Genomic DNA, 12,361 nt, shown 5'->3' on the forward strand with positions numbered 1-12,361 from the left:
CTCCTCCCACAAAGTAGCTACCTCTCTACCTTCTTTGCATCTGAGGGACCAGGGGTTGGTAGGGAGGGTGAGCTTTGGGGCTTCCGAGAGCTGCCCCAGCCTCCAAACCCCTGTCTGAGGAAGCTGGAGAGCAATGAGAGGCTTGGCTGAGGGAGGCATCTTTCACAATCTCCCGGCAGCCATCCACCCGCAGAGACTCTGCAAGGACAGGGAAGGGGAAGTCCGTGTGTGCGTGGGGGCATGTGTTTCTGCATAGGGGTTGTCTGCGGACAGGGTTTCCGATCATCGGCCTGAGTGTGTGTGTGTGCATGTCAGTGCCTGTGCTGTGCTGGTATGAGTGATGAAATGAGGCCACGTAGAAAGGGGCTGGGCCTGGTCAACCCCTGCCCCATAGCTGCCTGCTCCTCCTCTCAGACCTCTGTGAGGTCCTTGGTCAGGCTTTCTGCCCGCCTTACCCATCCTGGGGCTTGGGACTGGCAGCCTTCTTCGGGGCAGCTGAGCAGGGCAGGACCGGAGGGGGGCCACTGGTGCCTGCTTTCTGGGCTGCCATTGTGGGTGGGCATAGCCATGGGAAGGATGCTATGGAGGGGTGGGACACAGTATCTAAGCTCTGGACTGGACAGTCGGACAGTGGCCTTTGCTGACTTTTGCCCCACATTCTCTCAGGTCCTCCCCTCACGTGGATGTTTGCGGGTGCTGATATGCCCACTGTGACACTGCGTTATCGCCTTGTGACTTTTGTCTCTGCTCTTGTCTCTCCTCCTTAGAGTCAGAGGACATAGGGAGAGGTGTGCCCCTGGGCCTTCCCTGGGGTCATGGGCTTGGGGTCTGCAGTGTCCCCTCCTCTATAGAGGAGCCTGACCCATCATCTGCCCCTCCTCCCTGCAGAGGGGGAAGTGAGAAGGAGGGGGGCCAGAGACCCTGCCTTCTGGGCCAGGAAGGCTAAAAAAAGCAGAAGTAGGAAGAGTAACGGGGCCCTCTGGTCACCGGCTTGAGCCCCACCATGCAGACCCCAGCAGATTTCCCCAGGGTTGAGAGAGACTTGGTTCCCTGTCCCAGAAAGGTGAGCAGAAGAGTCGCCTGCCTCCAGCGGTGTCTGTCACCATGACTGGGCAAGGAATGGGTTTGGGGGTGGCTCTGTCCCTTGGGATTTCTGGGTGGTTTCCTGTCTCTGTCCCCAGGGAGTGCTCTCAGTCAGAGGCAGACAGGTGAGGTGGAGGTTCAGATCTCAGGGTGGGGTGTGCAGGTATTGCCATGTGGGCTTGGCCCCCTCTTAGTCCCTCTTTGAGCCAGGCTTTCTGCCTGTCCCGCCAGGAGGTTACACTCAGGGGTCTGATTTGACTGCAGTTTTGTGGTGTTTTTGTGGGGCTGTTCCACCCACTCCTCCATCTGTCAGGAAGGGTTAGGTATCTTCCCCTGAAGATAAGATTGTGTCTCCGAGGGCCAGGACCTACAGTGGGAGGTCACAGACGGACCCTAGTACTGAAGGAGAAGGGGTTTTAGGCAGATGTGGGTGGGCAGGACGTGGCTCTGGCTGATTGACCTGCCCACACTTTCCTGGCATTTGATGCCTGCTGACCCCAGGCCAGGCAGTAAGCAGGGAGGCGCCTGGGTCCAAGCTACCTCTGCCACTGTTTGCTTTGAGCCTTGGTGAGTCACTGTCTTCTGGGCCTCAGTTTCCTATTCCTGGAATGAGGATAACAGTTTTTAGGATATGATCAGAGTCAAAGACATCAGATTGCACTCAGGAGATAGTCCTCTCAGCTACTGTCTGGGTCCCCCTCAGGTCTTGGCATAGGAGGAAAATCCTAGGGAAATGGGAGATCTCAGAGGTGGGTCTGCAAGAAATACGAGAGTCCTCTCCTGAGTGGTGGGAGTTTGCAGATTGTCTCCCCTCATCTCTTTCCCCACCCCAGGTACAGCAGCAAGAACCCACAGCTCTGCCCTTAACCCCTTCCTGGGGATCCCTGCCCTGCTGCCTGCCCGTGTGTCTGCCAGGTGTCAGACCTATCTGCCCTAGGTATTGTCAGTCTGCTTGGGGCTCGCTGACTCTCCCGCTGTCTCTCTTTGCTGCCTACCTCTGTCTGTGGTTGGGTTCCAATCTCTGTCTCCACTTGATAAGTGCCTGACTTCACCTTTTGGGTACATGTCACATGTTAGGTGCCTGTTGTTCATGTCCCCTTCTGTCTCTGCCTGTTGGGTTTATGTCTTCATCTGTCTCTGCCTGTTGGATACCTGTCCCCTTCTGTCTTTGCCTGTTGGGTTTGTGTCACCATCTGTCTCTGCCTTTTGGATACATGTCCCCTTCTGTCATTGCCTGTTGGTTTTTTTTTTGAAACGGAGTCTCACTTTGTCGCCCAGGCTGGAGTGCGGTGGTGCGATCTTGGCTCACTGCAGCCTCCCCCTCCCAGGTTCAAGCCATTCTCCTGCCTCAGCTTCCCAAGTATCTGGGATTACAGGTGCCCACCACCACGCCCAGCTAATTTTTTGTATTTTTAGTAGAGACGGGGTTTCACCGTGTTAGCCAGGATGGTCTCGATCTCCTAACCTCGTGATCCACCTGCCTCGGCCTCCCAAAGTGCTGGGATTACAGGCGTGAGCCACCACGCCCAGCCTGCCTGTTGGGTTTATGTCCCCTTCTGTCATTGCCTGTTGGGTTGGTATTCTCTTCTGTCTCTGCCTATTGGAGATGTGTTCCTCCTGCCTTTGCCTGTTGGGTACATGTCCCCATCTGTCTTTACCTATTGGGTATATGTCCCCATCTGTCTCTGGCTGTTGGGCTTGTGTCCCTATCTGCCTACACACATTGGGGATGAGTCTCTGTCCACCTCTGTCTGTTAGATATGAGTCCCCTCCTGCTTCCCCTTGTCAGGTACGTGTCTCCATCTGTTTTCTATTGGATATGAATTCCTCCTGCCTCTGCCTGTTGGGTGCGTGTCCTTATCCTCCATCCCTGCCTGTTGGGTATGTGTTCTCTCCTGCCCCTGCCTGTTGGATGCCATTCTTTCTTTTTCTTTTTCTTTTTTTTTGAGATGGAGTCTTGCTCTGCCACCCAGGCTGGAGTGCAGTGGCGCTATCTCGGCTCACTGCAAGCTCCGCCTTCCAGGTTCATGCCATTCTCCTGCCTCAGCTCCCGAATAGCTGGGACTACAGGAGCTGACCACCACGCCTGGCCAATTTTTTTTTTTTTTGTATTTTTAGTAGAGACAGGGTTTCATCATGTTAACCAGGATCGTCTCGATCTCCTGACCTCATGATCCGCCCGCCTCAGCCTCCCAAAGTGCTGGGATTACAGGCATGATGGATGCCATTCTTACCTGTTTCCACCTGTTGGGTGCCTGCTTCTGCCTGTTGGGTGTCTCTCTTCGTCTGCCTCCACATATCAGGCACCTGTCTTTGTCTGTTGGGTACCTGTTTGCTATTGGGTACCTCTCTGCTGTTGGGTACCAGTCTGCTCAGCAGCTGCATTGGCAGGGGACTTTCCCTTTGTAGGCCCACAGGGAGGATGGGGGAACGGCCAGAGGGCAGCCCTCAGGCTCTGAGGAGAGGGGGAGAGAGAGGAAGGGAACGTGGTGAGGGTGTAGGCCTGGTGCTGGGAAACCACAGGCCCTGAGTGATTGGCTGCCCTGGGCCAGGCCCAGCCCCCGCCCTTACCCTGCACATCCGCCTTGGTCCCGGCCACCACTGCGGCAGCCCCGGACTCTGCCTGCTCCTGCCATGGTGCCGTGGCCCTGCTGGGCGGATGGAGCAGGATCCCAAGCCGCCCCGTCTGCGGCTCTGGGCCCTGATCCCCTGGCTTCCCAGGAAGCAGCGGCCCAGGATCAGCCAGACCTCTCTGCCTGTCCCTGGCCCTGGCTCTGGCCCCCAGCGGGACTCGGTGAGTGTGCCCGAATGTCTGGTCCTGACCTGGCTGTGTCCCTTGCAGCAGGTGCCTGGGAAGCCAGCTTAACATAAGCTGGCTTTGGGCTGTCCTGGCCCAGGCCTGGCCCTGCAGGGTGACTGGACCCTGCCCAGACTTGCTTCCTGGGGAAGTGAGGAGGCACTTCAGGGCTTCAAGGCAATGGCAGCAGATTGGAGGGAGGGTAGAGTCCTGGAAAGGCTAGGACCTGGCAAGGGGCTTCCAGTAGGTTTGTATGAGGGAAGTTTGGGAAGTTGAGCCATGCAGTCTTTGGCCTTAACTCTGACCTGCCCCAGGCCAGCACTTACCTAGTTGATGGGGGAGTTTGGGTGACTCTTGGGTCTTTGTGCACGTCAGCCCTGTCCTGCTGACCAGAGGGATCCCCTCATCCCATCCTGACCAGGAACGAAGGCCCAGCTCTACCTCCCCATATGAGAACAAGCCTACTTCCTATTGTGGCAACACTAAAACAACAGGGGGAGGGAAGCCCCACGGGCGGACCTGGGGCAGGTCTCTGGGTCTCAGCCAGAGCCTGGGGTTGACTCAGCCTGGCCATGCCTGGGCATCCCTTTGGGCCTAACCAGGCCAGAGCATCGTGAGCAATAGGAGCGGTGCCTGTTCTGGTTTGACCTCCCCAGACTTTGAGGCTCTTTTGAAATCGATGACCCTGGAGGCTAGCCCTTCAGGGAAGTCGTCTATTGGGCCTTTAGGTTCCATCTGCTGTGGTCTGGTGGGAATGGACTTGGGCAGGGGAGCCTCCTGCTGCCTGGATGGGGCCCACCATGCCCACCAGCTCTGTCCCTCCATCAGGATGAGGGCGTCCTCAAGGAGATCTCCATCACGCACCACGTCAAGGCTGGCTCTGAGAAGGCTGATCCATCCCATTTCGAGCTCCTCAAGGTTCTGGGCCAGGGATCCTTTGGCAAAGTGAGTCATGAGCCCATAGCTGTGAAGGCAACACTCGTCATGTTAGAGGTGGGGGTCAAGGGTCACCTAGGGGCCCAAAGGATCAGAGGTCACCTTGGTACCCAGGGAGAGCAAAAAGGTCAGCTTGGGGCTCAGAGAAGATAGAGGTCAGCCTGGACTCAGACCTCTCCCATCTTCTGCCCTGCTTCCTGCTCTGCCTTCTCAGGTCTTCCTGGTGCGGAAAGTCACCCGGCCTGACAGTGGGCACCTGTATGCTATGAAGGTGCTGAAGAAGGCAACGCTGAAAGGTGAGTGGGGACACCTCCCTGTGCAGAACCCAGGCTTGGCTGAGGGAGGCAGCCCAGACTTCAAGGGCCTTGGGTCTGGCAAGGGAGACAGCTCTGTCTTCAGGAGCACCTAGTTCAAAGGTGGAGAAACAGGCCTATTTCTCAGCTATCCCTCGCCAGCCAATCCTCCTCCCCCTAAGCCAAGTGCTAGTGACTGGCTGTGAAGGTCTGGAAGGTGGTAATAGGGTAAATGCAATGTGTTTGTCAGGGGGCGGGGCCCTCAACTACCAAGCTGGTCAAGCAGAGGCATTCTGACTGTTGATGCTAGAAGAGTCTGGGGGAGACCTCTGTGGCCCCTAACTCAGGGGCCTGAGAGAAGGGCGTGAGTGAAGAGGCAGGGAGCCCAGGGAGGCAGCTGGGCTAGGCAAGAGAGGGTGAGTCCAGGCAGGGCCACAGAGCTGGATGGCAGAGAGGTTCAGAAGGGAGCCCCGAGCCAAGGTTAGAGTTCTGGGGACTTACAAAGGGTGTGAAGATGGTTGGTAGTGGGCTTTGGGTTGGATACTGACCACTTGGCCTGGGAACCAGTGTGACCACTGACCCGGCAGAGTCATAGCCAAGTCTCTCTTTAAATAAGTCAAGGCCGGGCGCGGTGGCTCACACCTGTAATCCCAGCACTTTGGGAGGCTGAGGTGGGCGGGTCATTTGAGGTCAGGAGTTCAAGACCTGACCAACATGTTGAAACCCCGTCTCTACTAAAAATACAAAGAAATGAGCTGGGTGTGGTGGTGTGCACCTCTGATCCCAGTCAGAGCCAAATCCTAGCTGGGGAGGTAGTGGGGGCAGTAGGAGGCGTCAGCCTTAAGGACGTTATGGGTGGCTTTGGTATCCTAAGGCCAGCCTGGTGGGTGTGGAAGTCATCCCCCAGGAGGTATGGTGGCAGCTTCAGAGGGAGGAGAAAGATGAAAAGCCTGGGTCCCTGCTGTGAAGGGCTCACAGGCTGGGCAGGAGAGGCTAAGCATACCCGACAGTGTGGTGCAGCCGGTGCTGTGACTGGTGTGCGTGGATATCCGACGCGCTGGGGAGCTGGGAGTGGTGGTGTAGTCTTGTAGAGGGTGGGCCCAGAGGCCAAGGGGACACCTAAGGAGCGGGAAGCCTTGGAGGATGAGTGGATTTCTCTAGACCAAAAATGTTTGAGGAAGGGGACCCTGGGAAGGAGAAACTGTTTGCCTGAACTAAAGTGTAGAGGTGGTTTGAAAATGTAAGGTAAGCTGGGTGCTGTGGCTCATACCTGTAATCCTAGCACTTTGGAAAGCTGAGGCGAGTGGATCACTTGAGGTCAAGAGTTCGAGACCAGCCTGGCCAACATGGGAAAACCCCATCTCTACTAAAATACAAAAATTATCTGGGTATGCTGGTATGCACACCTATAGTCCCAGCTACTCAGGAGGTTGAGGCACAAGAATTGCTTGAACCCAGGAGGTGGAGATTGCAGTGAGCCGAGATCGCGCCACCATACTCCAGCCTGGGCGATGAGAGCGAAACTCCATCTCAGAAAAAAAAAAAAAGAAAAAAGAAAATGTAAGGTGACCAAAATAGTTAACTCCGGTGTGGTCCTTGTCATGTCTAATGAGGAAAACACAAAAATTAAAACAGAAGAAGGGGACCAGCTCCTGCAGCCCTGTGTGCTGACATAGAAGGTGTGTTGGAAGGCAGCTGCAGCTTCTACTTGTAGCAAGGGCCAAGGATTGTGTCCTGAACAAGACTCCGGAAAGACATGCAGGAGGAGTACATTGGCCAGATCTCCTAAGATAAGCAGCTGTGAGCATCAATTCTGGAATGGCAGTGACGAATGAATAGAATTCATACTAGATGGATGGACTAGTGAAGGCTTTGGGACTATGAGGCTGGAGAGGAAACTGCCAATCCAGTACATGGACCAAAAAAGCCTTTAGTTTTGCATTGTGTGTATTGCTCAGACATTTTGTCTGGTCTTAGTAAGCACTCCCTAGCCTTCCACCTCTCCTTTTAATAAAAGTCAAGGCTGGGTGCGGTGGCTCATGCCTGTAATCCCAGCACTTTGGGAGGCCAAGGTGGGTGGATCATTTGAGGTCAGGAGCTCAAGACCAGCCTGGCCAACATGGTGAAACCCTGTCTCTACTAAAAATACAAAAAAAATGAGCCAGGTTTGGTGTGTCTGTAATCCCAGCTACTCAGGAGGCTGAGGCACTAGAATCGCTTGAACCTGGGAGGCAAAGGTTGCAGTGAGCCAAGATCACACCACTGCACTCCAGCTTGGGTGACAGAGTGAGACCCTGTCCCATTAAAAAAAAGTCAAAGGACACATGAGAGGTCTCAGTCAAGGGGTAATCAATATTGTGATAAACTTAGTTGAAACACACTGCCCAAAATGAACCTAGGCAGCCATGTCCAAAAGCCTGTTCTTTTTTTTTTTTTTTTTTTTTTCTTTCCCGAGATGGAGTCTCACTCTATCGCTCAGACTGGAGGGCAGTGGTGTGATCTCGGCTCACTGCAACCTCCGCTCCGCAGGTTCAGGCAATTCTCCTGCCTCAGCCTCCTGAGTAGCTGGGATTACAGGCACATGCCACCACGCCTGGCTAATTTTTGTATATATATTTTTTTCTTTTTTGAGACGGAGTTTCACTCTCGTTGCCCAGACTGGAGTGCAATGGTGCAATCTCGGCTCATCACAACCTCTGCCTCCCGGGTTCAAGTGATTCTCCTGCCTCGGCCTCACGAGTAACTGGGATTACAGGCCCACGCCACCACGCCTAGCTAATTTTGTATTTTTAGTAGAGACAGGGTTTCTCCATGTTGGTCAGGCTGGTCTCAAACTCCTGACTTCAGGTGATCCGCCTTCCTCAGCCTCCCAAAGTGCTAGTATTACAGGCATGAGCCACCACGCCTGGCCAATTTTTTTTTTTTTTTTTTTTTGAGGCAGAGTCTCACTCTGTCACCAGGCTGGAGTGCAGTGGCGTGATCTCGGCTCACTGCAACCTCCGCCTCCTGGGTTCAAGCGATTCCCCTGCCTCAGCCTCCTGAGTAGCTGGGATTACAGGCACGTGCCACCAGGCTGGCTAATTTTTTGTATTTTTTACTAGAGACAGGGTTTCACCATGTTGGCCAGGATGGTCTCGATCTCCTGACCTCATGATCTGCCTGCCTCGGCCTCCCAAAGTGCTGGGATTAGAGGTGTGAGCCACCACGCCTGGTCCCAATTTTTGTATTTTTAATAGAGACAGGGTTTCACCATGTTGGCCAGGCTAGTCTCGAACTCCTGACCTCAAGTGATCCTCCTGCCTCAGCCTCCCAAAGTGCTGGGATTACAGGCATGAGCCACTGTGCCCGGCCCAAAAGCCTGTTCTAATCAGACTAGTGAAATCAATAAAACATGATACTTGGTGGGCTTCAATAAATTTAGAAGGCAACCTGAAAAAGAGAAAAGTGCTCCAAAGGAGAAGCACAAGCACTGTAGGAATCCAGAAGGCCCTAACCCAGCTTGGCAAATTAAGGAGCGCTTCCTGGAGAAGGTGAGGCCTAAGCTGAGTCAAAGAACCTGCTGAGAATCAGAACTGCCCAATAACTTGTATTATTTAAAAAAATAAATAAATAATATGAAGGGTGCCCACCCAGACCCATAGATCGGGATTTTAGGCCCAGGGATCCAGCTCACCAGGTAGCCGTTCTTACCAGCCCCGAGACCAGAATTTGGGAATTTTTATGCCAGATGGAAAGCAGAGCTGGTGAAGGCATGCCAGGGGGAGGTGCAGAGGCAAAGTCTGAGGATCTGACAAAGCAGAGAACCCTGGGGGAGCAGGTTGCTCAGACTGGCTGATTAACAGGTCTTGATGGGGTCTGGTGGGAAAAGGGACCAGAGAGATGGGCAGGGTGCCAAGGCCCCAGCTGTGGGCACTGCTGTGAGGGGTGGGGACAAGGAGCCAGCCAAGGAGCCAGAAACAGACTGGCAAGGAGGAAACCTGAGGATTGAGTGTCCCCAAAGCCCTGGGTGAGGGGGCTTTGGGAGCTCAGGCCTGGAGGAACAAGTGGAAAAGAGATCCCTTAGCGGGGGCTTGGGAGTGGCTGTGTTGAGTGTCTAGGCTACTGGTGACTTCCTTTCTCGTCTGGCCAGTACGTGACCGCGTCCGGACCAAGATGGAGAGAGACATCCTGGCTGATGTAAATCACCCATTCGTGGTGAAGCTGCACTATGGTAAAGCTTCTGGCCCTGCCTGAGCTCCTACCCCACCCATCCTTCGCCCTTGCCTGTGGTCTGTACACTGTCCCACCGCCTGCCTGGCAGGCCAAGGGAGCCAGGGCCGGAGAAGCAGATCATAAGGCCGCGCCGACTCTACCATTGCCTTTCTCCCTCTTCCCAGCCTTCCAGACCGAGGGCAAGCTCTATCTCATTCTGGACTTCCTGCGTGGTGGGGACCTCTTCACCCGGCTCTCAAAAGAGGTGAGCTGACATCTACTGCCAGAGGGCCCCGGGATGGAGCTGAGGGACGACAAGTCCTCCCATCCCAGGGCCCTGTACAGAATGTGTTTGGTATGGCTTGAACCTGGAACCACCCAGGCCTGCCTAGCAGCCCCTGGCCCAGGAAATACCACGCACCCTGGAATGGAGGCCATACGCTGGCAAGGTCTCTGAGAGTTTCTCCCAAGGAAACTCCAGGGAGCTAAGGGTTCCTCTCACCTCTGCACCTGCCTTCTTCCAGGGCTGCTCTGGGCAGAGGTGTGAAGATAGGGGAGAAGCCCAAAGTCACCCAGAGAGCCAGAGACTTTAGCAGTCATCTTGCGTATGTCATCCAAAAGGATTTTGAACCAATATAAAAGGATTTGAGGCTGGGCGCAGCGGCTCACGCCTGTTATCCCAGCACTTTGGGAGGCCGAGGTGGGCAGATCAGGAGGTCAGGAGATCAAGACCATCCTGCCCAACATGGTGAAACCCCGTCTCTACTAAAAATACAAAAATTAGCTGGGTATGGTGGAGTGTGCCTGTAATCCCAGCTACTCAGGAAGCGGAGGCACAAGAATCGCTTGAACCCAGGAGGCAGAGGTTGCAGTGAGCCAAGATCGCGCCACTGCACTCCAGCTTGGCAACAGAGCGAGACTCTGTCTCAAAAAAAAAAAAAAAAAAAAAAAGGATTTGAGCTAGAAAATGGGACCATTCGTACAATTCAAACTTTAAAGAGAATCTAGCTTTTTTTTTTTTTAATTGTAATTTTTTTTTTTTTTTCAGATGGAGTTTTGCTCTTGTCACCCAGGCTGGAGTGCACTGGTGGGGTCTCAGCTCACTGCAACCTCCGCCTCCCGGGTTCAAGCAATTCTCCTGCCTCAGCCTCCCGAGTAGCTGGGATGACAGGTGCACGCCACCACGCCTGGTTAATTTTTGTATTTTTGGTAGAGACAGGGTTTCTCCATGTTGGCCAGGCTGGTCTCGAACTCCTGACCTCGGGTGATCCGCCTGCCTCAGCCTCCCAAACTGCTGGCTGGGATTATAGGTGTGAGCCACCGTGCCCGGCTTAAATTGTGATTTTAATGTTTGAATAGGTAATATACATGATTCAAAAGAAAAATATTCATGAAGAAGTCTTCCTCCCACCCCAGCCCCCTCTATTCCCATCTATAGGTAAACATTTTTATTGGTTTCTTGTTTAACTTTCCCATGTTTCTTTTGCAAACAAATCCGATATATGTTCATTCCTACCCCCATTTCCTTATGTAAAAAGTACTATTCTGTATACACTGTTCTGTACCTTGCTTTTTTCAAGATAGTATATCTTGGAGCTCACTCCATGTCAGAACACGGAGAAACTCCTTGTTCCAGTTCATGGCTGCAAAGCACTCCATTATGCAGGGGAGAGGGCTGATTCCAGCCTTCTACTCTTGGACCCTAGGCCTGTTTCCCACCCCTTCTATTTCTGAATGGTGCCACAATGAGTGGCTTGCGTATTAGTCATTTCATACTTCAAATCCTTTGTATGATGAGAAGGCTATATGGCCTGGGGTTTCCAAGGGTCCTCCCAGGGTGGCTCTTCAGGACCAGGAAGCTGCTGACTGCCCAGTGCCCCAGCTCTTAAGGAAGAGGAGGTCCCTGCTGAAGGCCCCTCCTGTCTTTTGCAGGTGATGTTCACGGAGGAGGATGTGAAGTTTTACCTGGCTGAGCTGGCTCTGGGCCTGGATCACCTGCACAGCCTGGGTATCATTTACAGAGACCTCAAGCCTGAGAAGTGAGTGAAGCCTCCAGCCCCACCCCAGCCTCCCCAGGGGAGGCCTCTTCTAGGACAGGGCCATCCTGAGGTGGGTGGGCATGGCTTTCTCCAGAAACGTCTCCCTCTCTTGGGCAATCTGAGGGATGGGTGAGTGGGGTGGGTGGTAGTGCCAGCTGCCCAGTCACTAATGCTACCATTACCAAGGGCCAGGTACTTTGCATGCAGGTAATGTTGCCCGTCTTTTTTTGCTAATCTAGTGTGACATTTGAGATGCCACCTTTAGAGGTCTTTCCTTGATAAAGCCCTATAGAATTTTCCCTAATATCTAACTACCCTCAAATGATAACTAAGGAGCCAGGGGCAGGTGGTGAGTTGGAATAAGATCTGGCTTTAGTGTTAGGCAGCCCTGTATTCAAATCCTGTCTCCACCTACTAGCTAGACTTACTAGCTCAATGACTGTAGAGCTACTTAACTGCCCTGAGCCTTAGTTTTCCCATTAGCAAAACGGGGCCCTAATAGTACTTGCCTCACACAGTTGCTTCAAGGATTAGCAAAAAAGATAGGCAACACCCCTGCGTGGTACTGCTACCACCCTGCAACACCCGCCCAGTCATCAGAGAGAATTGGGTGGAGCACCTCCTCTGGGCTGAACCCAACTCCCACAGCCCTGTGGTAACACCATCACCCACACGGCCACAGCTGAGGGGCCCTGACCACTATTTCTCTATTACAGCATCCTTCTGGATGAGGAGGGCCACATCAAACTCACTGGTGAGTGGAGGGCGCCTGCCCCCTCGGGACCCAGGGGAGGACAGGACAAGGTCATGATAGGTCTCGGCTGAGTGCTGGGGGCTCATTCTTCCCGAGAAGCCGTGCCAGTTACTTGGAAGTGGTCAAAAACTCAGGCCTCAGACTTGGAACACCCTCAGCTGGAATCCCAGCCCCTCATTGTGTAACGTTGAGCAAGTCACCTGACCTCTCTGGGCCTTAGCTTCCTCCTGAGTGTCATGGGGGTGATGCCTTCTGGCCTCTGGGCACG

General features: G+C 53.9%; 1 protein-coding gene across 5 annotated transcripts in view, besides 4 other annotated features; it reads left to right on the plus strand.

Moving 5' to 3' along the window:
• Positions 1-12,361, plus strand: part of RPS6KA1 (ribosomal protein S6 kinase A1) — a 45,265-nt gene that overhangs the window by 12,398 nt on the left and 20,506 nt on the right. For 2 of the 5 annotated variants that reach the window (NM_001006665.2, XM_047427258.1), the window contains exons 1-7: positions 3,684-3,877; positions 4,709-4,825; positions 5,031-5,112; positions 9,239-9,319; positions 9,486-9,565; positions 11,233-11,339; positions 12,056-12,093. In NM_001006665.2, the coding sequence (NP_001006666.1) occupies positions 3,743-3,877; positions 4,709-4,825; positions 5,031-5,112; positions 9,239-9,319; positions 9,486-9,565; positions 11,233-11,339; positions 12,056-12,093 (640 nt within the window). In that variant the 5' untranslated portion in view covers positions 3,684-3,742. Of the gene's footprint in view, positions 1-953; positions 1,064-3,683; positions 3,878-4,708; positions 4,826-5,030; positions 5,113-9,238; positions 9,320-9,485; positions 9,566-11,232; positions 11,340-12,055; positions 12,094-12,361 lie in introns of those variants that run through there. The other 3 variants (NM_002953.4, XM_024448871.2, NM_001330441.2) reach the window with 2 other exon arrangements.
• Positions 177-821: an enhancer, noted in NCBI's record as "H3K27ac-H3K4me1 hESC enhancer chr1:26868826-26869470 (GRCh37/hg19 assembly coordinates)". NCBI's record gives its function as "activates a minimal SCP1, AML or CMV promoter by ChIP-STARR-seq in naive H9 embryonic stem cells {active_cell/tissue: H9 hESC(naive)}" and the evidence as "EXISTENCE:reporter gene assay evidence [ECO:0000049][PMID:30033119]".
• Positions 3,320-3,489: an enhancer, noted in NCBI's record as "active region_509". NCBI's record gives its function as "activates an Ori minimal core promoter by ATAC-STARR-seq in GM12878 lymphoblastoid cells {active_cell/tissue: GM12878}" and the evidence as "EXISTENCE:reporter gene assay evidence [ECO:0000049][PMID:35858748]".
• Positions 3,560-3,749: a silencer, noted in NCBI's record as "silent region_484". NCBI's record gives its function as "represses an Ori minimal core promoter by ATAC-STARR-seq in GM12878 lymphoblastoid cells {active_cell/tissue: GM12878}" and the evidence as "EXISTENCE:reporter gene assay evidence [ECO:0000049][PMID:35858748]".
• Positions 4,420-4,469: an enhancer, noted in NCBI's record as "active region_510". NCBI's record gives its function as "activates an Ori minimal core promoter by ATAC-STARR-seq in GM12878 lymphoblastoid cells {active_cell/tissue: GM12878}" and the evidence as "EXISTENCE:reporter gene assay evidence [ECO:0000049][PMID:35858748]".

Source organism: Homo sapiens, chromosome 1, assembly GCF_000001405.40.
Source record: "Homo sapiens chromosome 1, GRCh38.p14 Primary Assembly".
In the NCBI taxonomy this organism is placed as follows: Eukaryota; Metazoa; Chordata; class Mammalia; order Primates; family Hominidae; genus Homo; species Homo sapiens.